The 18,582-nt window shown below is 48.4% G+C and overlaps 1 annotated feature.

Moving 5' to 3' along the window:
• Window positions 17,267-18,263: an enhancer, noted in NCBI's record as "H3K27ac-H3K4me1 hESC enhancer chr11:44487974-44488970 (GRCh37/hg19 assembly coordinates)". NCBI's record gives its function as "activates a minimal SCP1, AML or CMV promoter by ChIP-STARR-seq in naive H9 embryonic stem cells {active_cell/tissue: H9 hESC(naive)}" and the evidence as "EXISTENCE:reporter gene assay evidence [ECO:0000049][PMID:30033119]".

Genomic DNA, 18,582 nt, shown 5'->3' with positions numbered 1-18,582 from the left:
CTGGCAAAATAGATATAAACTAACACTGTCTCATTGGGCTGGTGCAAAACTCTAGAACAAGCTAAATCCTCAGATCTGTGCCCTGACCGCCATGATCTGCCTGAACTTGGGGAGGCAATGAAGAGACCCACAGTTACGTAAAGTCACCCTGCCCTCCCTCTTGGGGCTGCAATGAGTGGTGGCTCTGAGCAGACAGCTTTGTCTGCCAAGGTCCCCTGGCCACCAGGTTTCTCTCAGGCTTGGGTACCAGAAGACACCGAGACCTTGTCATCCAGCAGGGGGTGCACATTCTTCCCCATGGCTGGCATCTGGAAACTCATCCCTGCTCTTTCTTCCCCTCAGGAAACAACGACAAAGCCAGACTCCCTTCCTGGGGGACAGTGCTGCTTCCTCCCCACAGGAATGGCAGTGGGGAGAATTTTTCCCTCCCCTCCCCACATACTAACCACAACTGGGCTGCTCCTCCATTCCCTCCCTCCTCCTCAGGCTGGCGGAGCCTGGCAGGGTGGAGGTCCCTGGGAAAACTCCCCAGACTGAGCTGAAAAGCCGGCAGACATTGCCCTGGGGCCTTGGCAGAGGGCTGGGCTCAGGACACCTCCTCCTGGGCTCAGACTCTGGTTAGGATGTGCTGACGTGATGTCTGGCGGTTTGACACTGGCTTGGTGGGGGTGCACTTTGCAGGTGACATACCACTTTGTGGCCCTGGGTTTCCAGAGGCGAGGCCTGCTCCGCCAAGGGAAGGATGGCCAGACAGTTCAGCACCCAGGGATGAGGATGAAGGGGTGGGGATGGCAGAGATGGGGCTGAGGGATGGTGCTCCAGAAGTAGAGGAGCACCAAAGCCTCTAGGCCTGCCTCTGCCTGCAGAAAGCCACTGATGAATGTCTAGTCCTACAAGGGTCTCATCTGGGAATTGGAAGGCACCTTGGCCACCTGCTCCTGGCTTCTCACCCTACAACAGAGCAGCCTGTACAACCTCAAATAAATGCTCACAACCGTACCTCGGACATGTGCAGCTCTCTTTCCCAAGGGAGGGTACTCTTGCTCACATTTCTTACTTTAAAAAAATGTGTCTCCAAATGGTTACTAGGTGCGGGGAAGGGTAGTGAGGTTGTAGTGGGAGGTGGGGGTGGTTAATAAGTTAAAAAATAGTTAAAAAGAATGAATAAGACCTAGTATTTGATAGCACAACAGGGTGACTATAGATAATAATAATTTAATTGTACATCTAAAGTAACTAAAAACGCCGGACGCAGTGGCTCATGCCTGTAATCCAAGCATTTTGGGAGGCCAAGGCGGGCAGATCACTTGAGGTCAGTTCAAGACCAGCTTAGCCAACATAGTGAAACTCTGTCTTTACTAAAAATACCAAAAAAAAAAAAAAATTAGCCAGGCATGGTGGTGTGTGTCTGTAATCCCAGCTATTCGGGAGGCTGAGGCAGGAGAATGGCTTGAACCTGGGAGGTGGAGGTTGCAGTGAGCCGAGATCATGCTACTGCACTCCAACCTGGGTGACAGAGCAGGACTCCATCTCAAAAAAAAAAAAAAAAAAAGAAATAGGAAAGAAAAAGTAACTTATAAAAGAGTGTAATTGGATTGTTTGTAACACAAAGGATAAATGCTTGAGGGAATGGATACCCCATTCTCCATGATGTACTTATTTCACATTGCATCCCTGTATCAAAACATCTCATGTATCCCATAAATATATACACCTACTATGTACCAACAAAAGTAATCAAAAATTAAAAAGATATGAGTCTTCATTGTACAAAAGTTGAAATATAGATAAGAAAAAATAAAAAGAATTATCCCTAACTTACCATTTACAGAAAATCACTCTTGACATTGTATTGCATTTTCTCTCAAACTTTTATATGGCATAAAACAGGGCAATTCAAACTGTGGTCTGCAAACTGTACCAAACTATCAACTTGCAATAGATTGAAGGTTGTAAAGTCATCCCTCCGCCTCGCTAGTTTGAGGAGCACTAATATAGATATTATTTTAATAAAAATAGAATTGTACTCCACTCACAAAACCCTACATCCTGTTTTGGGACTGCTTCCTGCTCCATCTGCATGGTGGACCTCTCTTGCTATGACACGCTGTGTTATTTTATTTTATTTTATTTTATCTTTTATTTTATTTTATTTTATTTTATTTTATTTTATTTTATTTTTTGAGACAGAGTCCTGCCCTCTCACCCCGGAAGGAATGCAGTGGCACAATCTCAGCTCACTGCAACCTCTGCCTCCTGGGTTCAAGGGATTCTCCTGCCTGAGCCTCCTGAGTAGCTGGGATTACAGGCATGTGACACCACATCCTGGAATGGACAGAACTTCACCTGGCTAATTTTTGTATGTTTAGTAGAGATGGGGTTTCACTGTGTTGGCCAGTCTGGTCTCAAACTCCTGACCTCAAGTGATCTGCCCACCTCAGCCTCCTAAAGTTCTGGGATTACAGGCGTCAGCCACTGTAGCCAGGCTGACACATTGTGTTTAATGGCCACTCACTTCCATGGCATGATTGTTCCACAGTTTTGGTTTCCAGTCCTTAAGGTTGGAATGAACATGGTTCTCAACTTGCAGGATAATATACCGGATGAACATCCTTGTTCATTCTTTGTGTGCACTGGTGTCATTAATTCCTTCAGATAAAGTTTTAGAAATGGAATTGCTGGGGGCAAAGGATGCACACCATTTTATTTTACTTTATTATTATTTTAAATAGTGACAGGGCCTCATAGTGTTCCCCAGGGTGATCTTGAACTCTTGGCCTCAAGTGAGGCTCCTGTCTTGGCCTCCCAAACTACTGGGATTACAGGTATGAGGCTGTAATCATGCCTGGCCACACATCTTCAGATTTTAGACACCTATTGTCAAAATTGTGTAAAGAAAAGTGGACCCAGTTCATACCTTCACCAGTAAGTTATGAGAGCTCAGGTGTTTGAGGCGGGTTTCATTTAAAGGTCCATTGTATAAAACACCTCTTCCAATGAGAGACTTTCAGAGATTTGGAGACCATGGTCATGGGTACCCTTTACCAAGATCCTCACTGCCAGGTTCTTCAGCCACCCCTCAACAATAGCAGGGCCAGAAGGGGCTTAGAGTTTCCCTTAACCAAGAGTTCCCTATGTGGGCTCCATAAAACGCTGTTCTGCAGGACGTTAATTGGTACTTACTAGACAAAAGAATTTATGATGAAATAATCTTGGGGATCAGTGACTTAAACAAATCCAAGGAGATGTTCTCTGCTACAGGGCTTCTCAGAGCATTTATATGCTAAGGATCCTTATTTATCTCCAAGAAGGGGCTGGAGTGAGCAAAGTTTCCCAAACACATCTGAGCATGGAATCTTTCAGTGAAGTGCAGCTCAAAGAACCAATGGTCTGTGAAACACCCTTCCCTAGCAGAGTGGTTTTTAAACTTTTAAAAAGCCATAGAACTCGTTCTTCAGATTATTTTCTGCAAGAAATCTCAATTTATGTGAAGCGGACACAAAACAGGGATGAAACAGACCAAAGCACGGATGGGACAACACAGATAATGACAGTGATAATTCTCTGGCCTTCCCAGTGTGCCCCCTAAGAAGGTATCTCAGAACTCCTAGGGGCCTATGTGGCACCATTTGAAGAACACAGTTTCCTCTGCCTTATCTTTTTTCCCCCCTGCAAGAACAGGATGCAGATGAGTCCCAGGCACTCCCAGGATTCCCTGGAGCCTCACAGCTGGAAGGGACCTCTCTCCTGTTGCAAAATTTGCTACTGTACAATAAACAAGGGGTGAGGAAGTGTTTCCCAGAATTATACGGGTAAACAGTCTTAACTTGGGCAGCCACCTATAGCCCATGATCACCAACAGAAAGGGTGTGGTCATCATCATGAGCACATGGGGTTTGAAATTGGGTTAAGTCCAAGCTCTACCACCAACACACTGAGTAAATCTGGGAAAGTGCTTAGGCAGACCGAGCCTCAGTTTCCCTATTGTAAAGTGGGTGTGGAGCAGAGAATGTGGCCCACTTAGGAGTACATGCATATTATGGAGTCAGTCACCATAGATTTGTGTCCCAGCTTGGACACTTACTAAGTGGGTACTCTCAGCCAAGTCACTTAGCCTCTCTGAATCTCACTTTCTCTTTCTATCAATGAGAGGATGGGCTGTTTAGGATATTTCTCAGACTGGATTCTACTACTTCAGAGCACTAGCTTATAGTTGGAGTCAGAAGGCACGAAGTTTCTAACAGCAGACAATCTTGAAGAACATGAGGTAATTACAGAACCTTGGGAGGCACCCCCCAGAGTTAGAGGATGGGAGAAGAAGAGTGATGGAGACAAAAGAATGGTCATGGAAGTAGGAAGCAGACCTAGCTGTAGCTTACAGTCATGTTCCAGAAGTGCATGGGTAGCAGGTTTAGTTTAACATGTAGGCTGCCATCTTTGTTTTGTGAAGAGAAGACTGACTGGACATGAGCTTCCCTAGAAAAGGGACTCTGTCTATTTTGTTTACTGCTGTGTCCCCCCATTCCTCAAGCAATGCCCTGCAGTAACTTTATGAAGTCCCCACTTGCTGCTTTTTCATAGAAGGGACTCAGGATCAGCCAACACTTCTTGTGCTGACACCTGTAACCTGGAACTTGAAGCCCATTTATTCCAGGAAGCAATGTTATCAATGATTGTTAATGCCCCAGGTTACTCCACATAATTTGCCCAACCCATAAATGAACTCTGGCGTTATTGGTACAATTCTTAAGTCCAAGGAACTTATAAGGCTGGAATAAAGAAGAAAAAGAGGTAAGAGAATGCCTTGAGGATTAGGGTTTCAGGACCATCTCAAGATCAAAAGTGAGGGACTACAGTATCTGATTTGGCCAGGAGGCTCATGTCTTCTTTTCCCTTGTTTCCAGGTATACAGCTGGGCTTCAAGTGGTTTGTGACTTGCTCCCCTAGGAGAACTCTGAGACCCGAATTCTTCTCCTGGAAGCCAGTCCCTATGACAGGTTCCCACTACATGCTGCCAGGCTCCTTGGCATTATAGCCACAGTTCTTTATCCTGCTTTCAGATCCCTTCCTGATCTGGTCTATCTTATAATTGTCCCAGCTCAGGTGATGAACCCATTACCACCAACTCCTAATCCCCAATACCCTGAACTCTAATGCTATCTTTGGGTTTTCTTCCTTATGGCACTCCACAGAGGACTGCCAGCTTGCCAAAGGCCCTCTCCCCATATGAACTGATTTCAGTTAGGTAGCTAGGAAGACAGGGAGAGCATGTGACTAATTCACACTAAGGTGTGAATGGCTGCTAGCATAATAACATCCCAAGAAGTATTTGCTTTTTGTAAAAGGGAACTTATTCACCCAAATGGGTGTCTGGCAGAATATCTGGGAATATAACAATGGAGTAATAAATTCCAGATTCCTTTTCCCTAAATGAGGCTGGTTTTCTTCTTCTTTTACTCCATGTCTTTGCTTTAAAAAGTCTAACATGATGCGACAAAATAGGAAGTTCTCAGCACCATCAATATGCTTTTCTTGTGAATGATGTTGACTCTGAATCTAATCGAGTATTTAGAGTTATCTTCTATTAATAGTTCACAGGAAATACAGGGATAGAGGAAAAATTTAAAGGACACCATGAGAAAGCAAATAGGCAAATATGTAATATAGGCCCTTCTATAGGGTAACTGTCATGGTTTCATCCACAAGTCAATTTGATTAGTTCACTCAGGCTGCTATAACAAAAAGGCCATAAATTGGGTGGCTTAGAAACAACTGAAATTTATTTCTCACTGTTCTGGAGGCTGGGAAGTCCAAGATCAAGGCCCTCACAGATTTGGTGTCTGGTGAGGGCCTGCTTCCTGGTTTGTAAACAGCTGTCTTTTTACTATGTCCTCGCATGGTGGAAGAGGCAAAGGAGTTCTTTCAAGCCTCTTTTAGAAGGGCACTGATTTTATAAGGGCACTAATCTCATTCACGTGGGCTCTGTCCTCGTGGCATAATCACCTCCTAAAAGGCCCCACCTCCTAATACCATCACATTGAAGGCTGTGATTTCAATATATGAATTTGGAGGAGGACCACAAACATTTAGAGAAAAAATGGATAGAGGACAGTTTAAGATGAAAAGATTTAAATAGACATAACAACCAACTGTAGTATGTTGACCTTGTTAGACTTAACAAACCAACTGTAAAAGGACATTTTTGAGACAACTAGGAAAATTTTACCATGAACTGAGTTTTTAATAATACTAAAAAATTATTGCTAATTTTGTAAGATGCAATAATAGTATTATGTTTATTTTAAACTATATATTTTAGAGATATATAGGAAAGTGTGTAGAAGTGAAATGACATAGAAATGCCCAGAATTTATTTTAAAATGGTTGGCAGTAGGAGGGAGAGAAGGAAAAAGAACAAGAAAAAAAGGACAGATGAGGCCAGAGTAGCAAAAGGTTGATAAATGTTGAATCTGAGTGATGGGTCCATGGGGTTCCATGATATTATTCATTCTACTTTGGTGTCTGTATTAGTCTGTTTTCACACTGCTGATAAAGACATACCCGAGACTGGGAAGAAAAAGAGGTTTAATTGGATTTATAGCCCCACATAGCTGGGGAGGCCTCAGAATCATGGTGGGAGGCGAAAGGCACTTCTTACATGGTGGTGGCAAGAGAAAAATGAGGAAGATGTAAAAGTGGAAACCCCTGATAAAACTATCAGGTCTCTTAAGACTTATTCAATACCGTGAGAACAGTATGGAAGAAACTGTCCCCATGATTCAAATTATCTCTTACTGGGTCCCTCCCACAACACGTGGGAATTCTGGGAGTACAATTCAAGATGAGATTTGGGTGGGGACACAGAGTCATACCCTATCATTCTACCTCGGCCCCTCCAAATCTCATGTCCTCGCATTTCAAAACTAATCACACCTTCCCAACAGTCCCCCAAAGTCTTAACTCATTTCAGCATTAACCCAAAAGTCCACAGTCCAAAGTCTTATCTAAGACAAGGCAAGTCCCTTCCACCTATGAGCGTGTAAAATCAAAAGCAAGCAAGTCACTTCCTAGATACAGTGGGGGTACAGGCATTGGGTAAATATAGTCATTCCAAATGGGAGAAATTGGCCAAAACCAAGGGGTTACAGGCCCCACGCAAGTCCGAAATCCAGTGGGGCAGTCAAATCTTAAAGCTCTAAAATGATCTCCTTTGAATCCATGTCTCACATCCAGGTAACGCTGAAGCAAGAGGTGGGTTCCCATGGTCTTGGACAGCTCCACCCCTGTGGCTTTGCAGGGTACAGCCTCCCTCCCGGCTGCTTTCATGGGCTGGCATTGAGTGTCTGTGGTTTTTCCAGCCACACAGTGCAAGCTGTCGGTGGATCTACCATTCTGGGGTCTGGAAGATGGTGGCCCTCTTCTCACAGCTCCACTAGATGGTGCCCCAGCAGGGACTCTGTGTGGGGGCTCTGACCCCACATTTCCCTTCCACATTGCTCTAGCAGAGGTTCTGCATGAGAGCCCTGCCCTTGCAGCAAACTTCTGCTTGGACATCCAGGCATTTCCATACATCCTCTGAAATCTAGGTGGAGGTTCCCAAACCTCAATTCTTGACTTCTGTGTACTTGCAGGCTCAACACCACGTGGAAGCTGCCAAGGCTTGGGGCTTACACCCTCTGGATTGGATTATTTGGGGGGGTTTGAATTCCTCATATATTCTGGCTACTAGTCCCTGGTCTGATGAATAGTTTGCAAATACTTTCTCCCATTCTACAGGTTGTCTCTGCACAAGTTGAATTTGGTTCAACACCTTGTTGCTGAGCTTCCCAATGAATGTGGTGCTAGCTTGACCCCCACCTCCACTCCACAAATCTGCTCTTCCCCACAGCAGCAAATGCACATCATCACCCATCCAGTTGCTCAAACCCCAATTCTGAATCCCCCTCTTCCACTGGTGCCATCAGCAGCTCCCATCAGCATACCTCCTAGAGTACACCCTGACTGTCCTGCTCTCCCTCCCTAGCCAGAGTCATCATCCTCCCTGGCTAGAACTGAATAGACTTAGGGGGTCTCCCTGCTTCCTCCCACTGTCTCCTGCAACCCACTGTCCTCCCACTGCCAACATGCTTTTGAAAACAAAAGGCAGATCATGCCATGCCTCTGTTTACAACTCTTTAGTGGCTTCTGACACCACTTAGAATCAAGTCCAGAATTCCCCTCTGGCTTCCAAGGCTCCATGTCTACACAACCCAGCCACTGGGTCCACCCTACCTTCATCTAGTGCTGCCCTCCCTGCCCACAGTCCACTCTGGCCACTCTGCCCTTCCTCACTTGCTCCTCCCTTGGGGACTTTGCCATTGGATGTTTTCTGGGCTCCCAATACCCTTTGTCCAGGTCTTCGCATGGCTGGCTGCTCCTCAGCTCCAGGGAATTCATGCAGATGCCACCTCCTCCCAGAGGACTCCCTGACACCTGATGGAAGCAGCTACCATCCCATAACCCTGCTCATTTTCCTTGTGTTGCTGATTGCCATCTGAAAGTATCCGCTGTCTTTCTTAGTTTCCTTGTTCCTTGTCCCTTTTCTCCCTTCTAGATGTAAACTGGGACAACTGAATAACATGCAAGAGTCAGGGCCTCCTTCTGTTTGCCATCCCACCCGTATTCCTAGAATGAGACCTTACACAAAGACACTTGATTGACATCTAATAAGCAATCAACTGAATGCACAAAGTTGTGTGACCAGGGGTGAGTCTGAGGTCTCCATGTGTTTTCTGTGACTCACAATGGGATCTAGGTTCTGTCAACACTTTCTTGTGGCCTAGGGTCTCACACAAACAATAAAAGCATGGACCATCTTCTGACAGGTGGTCACATGAATGGCACTTCCTTGCCACCACCCACAGGTGGGAGAGTGTCTTTAACATAAAATGAACAGGCACAGGGTGTCACCCCCTTCATGAGGGTGCCCACTCTGGGTACAGGGCTTTGAGACTCCACAGGGGAAATCAGTCTACCTGGAAAAGCACCTCTGTTCCCAGCAGTTCCAGGAAACCCCAGGGCCTCCCAACATGTGGTCTTTTCTGCTCCAGGGAGAACAATGTTTTCAGAGACCGCCTTCCTGTCTTGTGGTCGGGCTATTCTTGTGCCTCGGAATGCCTTTCTGCTCAGTGCTGACAGCCGCCACCTCTCTAGACGGTGCCAGGCCTCTGGAGCCCCGCTTGGTGGGTGGTGAGGGCTCCTACAGCCTCCACGCCCACCTGGGCTCTGGTAGGCATGCTGGGGAATGCAGAGCATGTGGCGCTGGGGGGCTCCTCTCTGGCATTGCCCAGCTCCTCTTTCTCCTGCCAAACAAAAGTGTTCTGCTTGGGCAGGGACAAGAGCCTACTTCTAACTGCGGAACAAACAACAGACCAAGCCCTTTCTATCCTGGGAGAAGTAGGGCTGCCCAGGACCTTTCCTCATTTGCTGATTTTTCCAAAGTTTGGAGCAGTACAGGAGGTGGTGGAAACTTGTGCTTTCTCTGAGTCTGAAGAGCCTGCCTCGGACCTGGGGGCAGGGCTGTTTTCTCATCACCACTTTCCACTGGCCATGTTGGCATGCCAGTGGGCTCCTCCCTCTCTTCTCTCTGGCCTCCTCCAGACATGGTCTTCTACCTGCTGCTGCCCTCTGCTCTTCCACCAACCCTCAGTTTATCACGCCTGGACTTCTCCAGAAACTGCTAACAGCTCCTTTTTCTCCTGCACTGCCCACTCACTCAGCAAGCATTACATCATCATCACCATCATCATCATCATCATCATCATCATCATACTTGCGTGTCATCTTCATGGCCACCGTTGACTATCTTCTCATGGTTAGGACATGTCGCACTCTGTGTTAAGCAGGTTACATGTTGCATCTCATCTACTCCATGTGAAGTAGTTACTGTTCTCTCCATTTCACAGATGAAGGAACTGAGCTCACAGCGGCTGAGGAACTTGTCCAGGGTCACCTTGCTGATGAGGGGCAGAGCTGGGATGCTTACCCCATGCCAAGTCTGCTCAGCCCCCAGCTGTATGGCTTGCCGTGGCGGAGGGTTTAGGACATGCAGCCAGACTGCTAAGCCCATCCTCCTGGTCCTAATCCTGTCACTTGCCAGCTTTGTGACCTCTCTTGGCCTATGTTTGCTCTTCTGTGACATGGGGACAGCAATAGCAACTTCTTCCCAGGGGTGCTGCAAGGATGAAAGGAGTGTGAAGTGTTTAGAAGGGTGACTGGTAAATGCTCTGTAACAGGTGCAGAGAATGTGACAAGACACAGCCCCTGCCCTCAGGAACTTCTGGTCTAGTGGGAAAGATCATCGCAGCTTGGGATGGTCTAAATCACAGCAAGGAAAAGAACAGGCACCACCAGTGTGAGTGGCAGGGACAGCTACCCCAGCCTGCTGTGGTGGCTTCCACTTGAGTGATGCCTAAGCTAGTGTAGTTCTTATTTTCTTTTTTAAATTAGCTTTTTATTTGGAATAAATTTGGATTTATAGAAAAGTTGCAAAGATAATACAGAGTTCACATATACTGCGCCCAGCCTTCCTGAAGAACATGCCACTTCCCCAGAAATATGACAAAGGCAATGGGATAGGGGGAGATGTGTATCATGTTAGCTGTTCTCAGGCAAGCTCCCTCTAGGCATGTCCCACAGAAAGGCAAACATTGTAAAATCTGGGCCGGGCACAGTGGCTCAAGCCTGTAATCCCAGCACTTTGGGAGGCCAAGGTGGGTGGATCACCTGAGGTCAAGAGTTTGAGACCAGCCTGGCCAACATGGTGAAACCCCATCTCTACTAAAAATACAAAGATTAGCTGGGCATGGTGGTGGGTGCCTGTAATCCCAGCCACTCGAGAGGCTGAGGCAGGAGAATTAATTGAACCCAGGAGGTGGAGGTTGCAGTGAGCAAAGATTGTGCCATTGCACTCCAGACTGGGTGTCAAGAGCGAAACTCTGTCTCAGAAAAAAAAAAAAAATCATCATGAAATCAAGGCCACCTCCCGAGGGCCTAGCCTCCTACCTGGAGGGCTTGAGTGAGGGATTAGTCCGCAAGCAAACTCAAACAGGAAACACAGCACGGCCATCTAGACTGGGGCTGAGCCCTGGCCCTCCAACCTCTGTGCCGTTGGAGTGAGGAGAACTGGGCCTGACCACTCAATGGAAACTCCTGGGGTTGATGTCTTGGTCTTGGGAGGTGTTTGCCACATTCAGGAGGTGGCTGGCCACTGGGTTGGCAGTGGCAGGATCTGCAGAGGGTCAGCAGCCAAGCAGAGCTCCCAGCTCAAAGGAGGCCTCTGGTCAGGAACAAACTCCAGCTCTGGATCTCTCTCTTTGGCTCACTGATTCTGTCTTGGCCTTTCCTCACCATGGGAGTTGTAAGCGACAGAGGCCATGGGTCTGGAGGGAAAGGGTAATGGGTGTGACAAGGTCAGCTTTGGGCTTAGGTCTGCCCAAACCTCTATGTGGGTGACTCACCTGGGATTCCTGGATCTTCTCTTGGGCTTGGGGCCAAAGCCATGGGTATGATTGCATTGCTGGCCTCATCTTCCAAGGCTGGCTAACCAGGGCAGGGGATCACGGATCCTGTGCTCATTCATCCTTTCATTCAATACAGATACAGAGAATAGCAGCCCTGAGCCCGGCACTGTGCCAGGCCCTAGGGGTACTGCGCTGGGCTCCTCACAAGGTTCCCTTCTCTAGATAGCCTACCTTCAATAAGAATTGCAAAAGGTGGAAAGTTTTTTCTGGCCCTGTATAGTTTCCTATTACTGATGTAGTGGCTTAAAACAACAAAAATGTCTTATCTGGCAGTTCTAGAGGTCAGTGGTCCAAAATCAGTCTCAAGGACTAAAGTCAAGGTGTTGGTGGGGCTGGTTTGTTCCGGATGCTCATTTCCTTGCCTCTGCCAGCTTCTGAGGCCACCTGCATTCCTTAGCTGGGGGCCTCCTTCTTTTACCCTCAAAACAGCTGTATAGCATCTCCTCTCCTCTCTGACTTCTGCTTCTATCCTTACATCTTCCTTCTCTTTTATAAGGACCCTTGTGATTACAATGGATCCACCCAGATAATCCAGGACAATCCCCCTATCATAACATTCTTAACTTAATCACATCTGCAAATTCCCCTTTGCCATATAAGGTAACATATTCACAGGTTCTAGGAATTAGAACATGAGCATCTTTGGAGGGCGATTATCCAGTCTACTATAAGATTTTTTTTTTTTTTTTGAGACAGGGTCTTGCTCTTTCCCTCAGGCTGGAGTGTGGTGGCTACATCACGGCTCGCTGCAGCCTGGAACTTCTGGGTTCAAGCGATCCTCCCGCCCCAGCCTTCTGAGTAGCTGGGATTATAGGCATGAACCACCACATCCGGCCAGAGCTCTTTCTTGAAGTAGTTGAGAGCCCAGGTTCTGAGGTCCACAGACTTGGGTTTGAATCCATGTCCCTGCCATTTTTTACTGTGTGACCTCCTATTACTTAATCCCTCTATGCTTCAGTTTGCTCGTCTGTAAGACGAGGCTAATAGTTACCTGAAGGATTGATATGAGAATTAAACAAGCAATCACAGGGGTTCTAGCCAGAGGTCCTAGTTATTAACAATAAAAGGGGCCTTTGGCTGCTTTAAGCAGAAAGGTAACAGCTCATTGTCTCCAGGAAGGCTGGAAATCTAGGGTCAGACAAAGCCAGAACAAGTGAGAAGCTGGTGGCCAGAACCACAATCCAAGCCATGCTATGGAACCCACGGATGAGGCTTCCTGTTTACCACCTGCAGCCCAGGGCACCCAACTCCTGTTGCTACCATTTGTGGCCCGGCCACTCTGGGACACTTGGAGCTATGGAGCGAAACTCTCCATGGCTCCTGGCCTGGGTCCAGTTCTGGACAGGAGCATCAGATTTGCTGGCTCTGGTCACATGTCCACTTCCTGGTTGCAAGGGCCCCAGGAGAGCAAGGATCTGGCTTTCTCCACTTCTTGGTGGAAAGCTGGCTCTTCTCTGCCTACTCTCATCCTGGGATGGAGAATTCCCCAAACATAAAAAGGGGTTCAGCCCCCAAATCAAGCATTCACTTGATGCCAGCAATGATTATTATTAGTCCAGGCTCTCCGTTGAGAGTCGTGGTAAAATTGAACTCACTCCCTGGAATTGGAGAGGGAGGCAGAGTACAGGTTCTTGTCCAACCTTGCTAGGATGTGGCCCTGTGCCACAGGCGCTGTCACCCAGATGGCAGCCAAACACGGAGAAGGTCAGTAGTTCCTGGATACCTGTCTGGTTGGTGAGACCCTGCTTGGACCAGAGAGCCTACAGAGCTGACTACTTCATCAGCTTTTGTTGGATGGAGGACAAAAATCAAAACAAAACAGAGAGTGAGAATGAGCGTGCAACAAGAAAAGGCATCCGAAAGATGTTTTTAATGTGCATCAGATTATGCAGCCAAGCCAGGGGCCTCTGCCCAGCTTCCCGGCACGTTCCTGCCTGAAGACAACTTGATGATTTGAAGGGAGCCGCGGTCAGATTGTATACCTGTCAACTGCCTCTCCATGCTCACTGGGGCACGGGGCTGTAATGAGGCCTGACACTTCAGGAATCTGGCAGGATACAAAACAGCCGCAGAGGGCAGAGGGGAGGCAGGCGGGGCCTACTCCAGCCACTTGAGCCTGCCTGGAATGTTCCAGAAGAGTACCAGAGGGAACCCAGGGGGCCCAGCTCCAGGTTCTGCCTTGACCACTTGCTGGTAGGACAATGAGAAAAATCACATCAGCTCTCTGAACCTCAGTTTCCTCATCTACAAAATGGGTTTTACTCTCCCCTTAAAGTTTTATTGGGAGGATCCAAGACAGTGTATACAAAGTGCCTAATGTGGCAACACAATAAATGATCATGATAAATATTATCATCATTGTCAACATCCTCATCAACCCGATCGATCCTTTCTGCTTTAATTGCCTGTTTTGGTGCTTTGGCTTCCACTATTCGAGAATTTGTTCACCATTATTCATTGGTTTGCTTTTGTGAGAACTTGCTGGGAGGATTTTTAGGCTAAGAGAGATTTTAGAGATGATTTTGGCCAACTTATCCATCTTATTGTGGAGGAAATTAAGGCTCAGAGAGGAGAGGTTATTTACCCAAGGTTGAACTGCTTGGTGGTAGAGGAGTTTCAACAGCAACAATGCTGGAGAGGACATGGAAGTCTCTGGTACCTGGGGTGAGGGGTACAAGGAGCCCTGTGCTTGATCGTATTCCTGGAACGACTTCCATGACTCTAATCCCAGGCATGTTAGATAAATTCGGAGAAGAGACACAGCCAAAGCGTCAACCATCATTCTGGAAAACACGGGTTGAGTGTCATCTCAGTCCCAGGAGGTCACTGTTTAGGGAAAGTCAAGGCGCCCTGAGTCCTGGTGCCCTGGTAGAAAAAACTGACACTTTCACAGCTCATCCTAGTCACATTCTAGGAACTGCAAATTGCAGGCTCGGCGGCAGAGAGATGAAGTCTTCTTGGAGGGCGGATGTTTTCATAGGAGCTAGTATTGGAGCCAGCCTTCAAGTCAATCACAAGATGCAATTCTGGGGAAAGGGGTTTAAAAAAAAATCACATCTGCCTGAAGACAACTGGTTAAGGCATAAGGAGGGGCTTTGTGAGGGAGATGGGATTGGTCCTATGCCTTGGAGAGGAATAGGATTTCTATAGACAGAAGAGGGTAGAAGGGTAAGCCTCTCACCAGGCACAGCTTGATGTTTCTGTGCAGGGAAGGGAGTCACCGAGAGCACTCCAGAGGAGGCCTGAGCAGAGCACAGCGCCATCATCATCACTGCCCAACCAGAACCAGGCAGGAGGAAGCTGGAAGCAGCCCATGTGAGGGAGATACCACAGACGGAGGACGGGTGCTGGGGCAGCACCTACTTCCCTGGAAAGCCTGGATACTGAGAGGCTGAAGTTGGCCATTTCTTGGCAGGTAGGGGTTCCAGCTCTCTAGAACAATGTTTGCTAAAAGGTGGAGCCAGGACCTGCCAAGGACATTGCACCCTAGTGAGCAGGGAGTAGGGCTTACCCAGAGTCTCATCGCTGACGTAATCATAAATCATTCACAGGAGACTCTGCAGTTCCTGACTGTCAAGTCGGCTGTTGAGTTTCCATCATGTCCTTCCAAGGGAGGGTTTAGTTCTCCAGAGGAAGCAAGGCACTGGAGAAAGGTCAGAGTTTAGAGACACACACATTTGGGTTGGAGTTCCCACTCTGCCCCATTCTAGCTCGGAGACCTTGAGCAAGTTACTTAATCTTTCTGAGCTTCAGTTTTCTCATCTGTGAAGTGGGAATTATAACATATCCCCTATGGGGTCATTGTAGGATTAAATGAGATCACAGATGTAAGGCAAATGAAAAGAAGTAAAGGTATGCAACTTTGCCTGACATATTCTAGGTACTTTGCAAATACTCTCCTTTCCCCTCTTCATTGGCTGTGTCTGAAACAAAGTCATTGAGTGACAAGAATGACTTCAGGTGTGGCTAAGGCAAGACACCAAACTAGACAAAACCACCAACATTTATATCACTTCTAGGCACTCAGCTCCAGCTGGCTGTGCAAGGGCTTCCCTGCCCTTTCCCAGCCAGTATTCCAGGCAGAAAAGTTCTCAGAAAAGCCAGGTGTATCAAAAGGACACGAGACTTGGACCTGGAATAAAATAAAATAGGCCACTGAGTTTTGGGCTACTAAATGTCAATTACTAGTGGCATCACCAGGCTGTTCAGTGATGCTTCCCCCCCAGTGGCTCTTGGTGACAGTGGAGCCCACACTGCAGGCCCATTTTGCCCTGCTTCTCCTGCTCCAATTCCTCTCCTATGCCTCATCCCCAAGTGTGTCCTCTAGGTTGAGTATTGCCTGGAACCCTGCCTTCCCTCAGATAGCCTTTCCCCTTGCATGTGCTTCTCTCACCCCTGGACAAGCATTCCTTCAATGGCTGCAGCTGGAGCTAAATGCTGTCCATTGGCTTCTGTGTTGGGGTATAACTGTTTAATTCTTTTGTGCATATTTATTCCTTGGCAAATTTCTACCATGCCAGACTGCCACTTACCAAGCCCCACCCAGCCAGGAGAGGATCATGATCTTCTCTGGCACTGGTCCTACCTCGGTCCTGCCAACTTACCCATCAACATGTCCCAGGACACCCAAGCTCCAGCTCTGTGACAGCTGCATTCATTAGGTCTCTTGATTGCAAGTGATGGAAACCCAGTTGAATGCACTGAGTATAGAATAGAATAGAATAGAATAGAATAGAATAGAATAGAATAGAATAGAATAAGATAATGGAATAAAATAGAAATTAGCTAATACAACTGGGAAGTATGGGGATGAAGACAGGACTAAATCCAGAGTTCAAAAATGCTAACAATCAGTCATTTCTTCATGCCCCGCTCCCACCTCTAACTCTCTGTGTGCGTCACTCTTACCTCCTGCAGGTGGGCTACTTTACAGGATAAAGAAAAGGCTGGATTTCCAAACCTCCAGCTTCCCAATCTATCAGCTGCAGAGGGACTGAAGCCAGCTTCCTGCTCCCAGTGTCCTTCTCAGGGAAGAATTCTGATTGGCCCTGTGGAGTCACACATCCTTCCCTGACTCAATTTCTGGGGCCAGGAGGACGTTGGGATAATTATCCAGCCTGGGCCTGCCTGTACCTCCTCTGAGGCTCGGGGGCAGGGCGGCTTGTTTCCAGAAGCATGGAGGTGGGGAGCAAACTTAGTGCCCAATGGGAAGAATTGTTTCCATAGACCAGGAGAGGGCCAAGGAGTGGGAGGGAGGGAGTGCCCATCCTGCGGGGAGCAGAGGGCATCAGGGTGCCCTTGAGTTGGCCCAGGAGGGTTTAAACAAGAGGGGGCAGCTCCAGGCTCTGGGCTATCCCAGGAGCTGAAAGGAGAGGCGAGGGAAGGGGCCCAGTGGGAAAAAAACAGAGCAAAGGAGGAGCTGCAGGTCCCTCTGCTGAGAGGAGTCCCAGTTGTCCCAGCAGAGAGGGGCCATGGGGCAGGAGCCCTGGTGGGAGGATGAAAGCCAGGAATTTAAGGAATGCCAAGGCTGCCCAGTGGTCAGAGTTACCCCAAAGGCTGGTACCAGATGCTGGCTGGGAGGCAGGGGCATCCTGCTGCTCACCAGGTCTGCCCCTTATTTGTCCCTCCCACCCTGCCCCTCAGGGGTTCTGGCAAGAGCCCCTGCTGGTCAGAAGGTGGAGGATCTTATCCTGCCTGCACTGTTAACTCACTGTGTGCCCCTTGGCCATCTGCAGCCTCAGTTTCCTCACCAGTAACGTGAAAAGGATAGAATAGAAGTGGCCTCAGCTCTGCTGGTCTTCCCCAGCTCTTCCTCCTCATCGCCCCCAAGAATGAGGGCGCCCCAGAAGGCCCTCGGAACTCAGGAATGTGCCCCAGGCCTCAGCCTTCCCTCAGCTCCTCCCCGAGGAAGCTGGGGAGCCGTTGGCAGGGGTGGCTCCAGGTCCCCTCCCTATCCCTCCCCTCCCTGCCCCATTCCTGCTTCCCCTCTCTTTCCTCTTCTGGCTGCAAAGCACATACAGATGTGGGGCTGTCGGCCACAATCAGGGCGTTCAGGTGAGGAATGGGGCCTGGCAGCCCTTGGCTTGTACTCGTTTGCCTGAGCGCAATTTCCCCATAATTACACTTCCTAACTTTTCAGCATCTGTGAAAGATCATCTTCTGACACAGCAGAGTCAGGCTCGCGCCAGCCAGGAAGCACAGCCCTTCGCTCGGAATCATTTTCAACAGGCAGAGAAAACACATTCGTTCTTTCTTTCTGGCATGAAGGACGTCCCCAGGAGGCAAGCCCAGCGGTGTCTTGGCGCCTGCCACAGGCATCCTCTCGCGCACTCTGGCTCCCCACCCATCGCAGTGTCGCCGAGATAGTCACCCACTGGAATTACCACCCGCCTACTCTGTCAGTCACTCATGGTGACATTTATGAGGACACCCACACTATCGCTCCCGCCACACACACACACCTGCTCCAGTCCCACCTCCTCACACCTTCACCAGCCACATTCCCTGTAGTCACCTGTCTGCCGCCCACACCCACACCATCACCCTCGGGGGCACGCACTGCTTTCTTCCTGTCACCCTGAGTGGTGCTGATGTCATCTTCCCACACTTGCCCCATGCCACACCCAACCCCACTGCCCTGCAGCCAGCAAACCCATCTCCCCTGTCCACTCCTATGCCCTGGGGTCAGCAGAAGTTTTGTTCAGGGCAAGAGCAAGCAGAGTGCCCATGCCACCTCTCCCAGGATCTTGCATAAAGATTTGCTTTAACAAGATGCGGGGGGCAGGAGGAAAAGCAGGGGGAACTACAGGCCTCAGAAACCCTGTGGAAGAAGGAGCCAGTAGGAACCTTGTAAATACATTCCAAATGTGGCCAGGGCCAGGCTCATGCCTGTAATCCCAGCATTTTGGGAGGCCGAGGCAGGCAGATTGCTTGAGGCCAGGAGTTCAGGACCAGTATGGGCAACACGGCGAAATCCGGTCTCTACAAAAAAATACAAAAAGTTAGCCAGGCATGGTGACAC

The sequence above is a fragment of the Homo sapiens genome, chromosome 11, assembly GCF_000001405.40.
Source record: "Homo sapiens chromosome 11, GRCh38.p14 Primary Assembly".
Classification (NCBI taxonomy): Eukaryota; Metazoa; Chordata; class Mammalia; order Primates; family Hominidae; genus Homo; species Homo sapiens.
The sequence above is the reverse complement of the archived record's forward strand: the minus strand, read 5'-3'. Positions and strand labels throughout refer to the sequence as shown.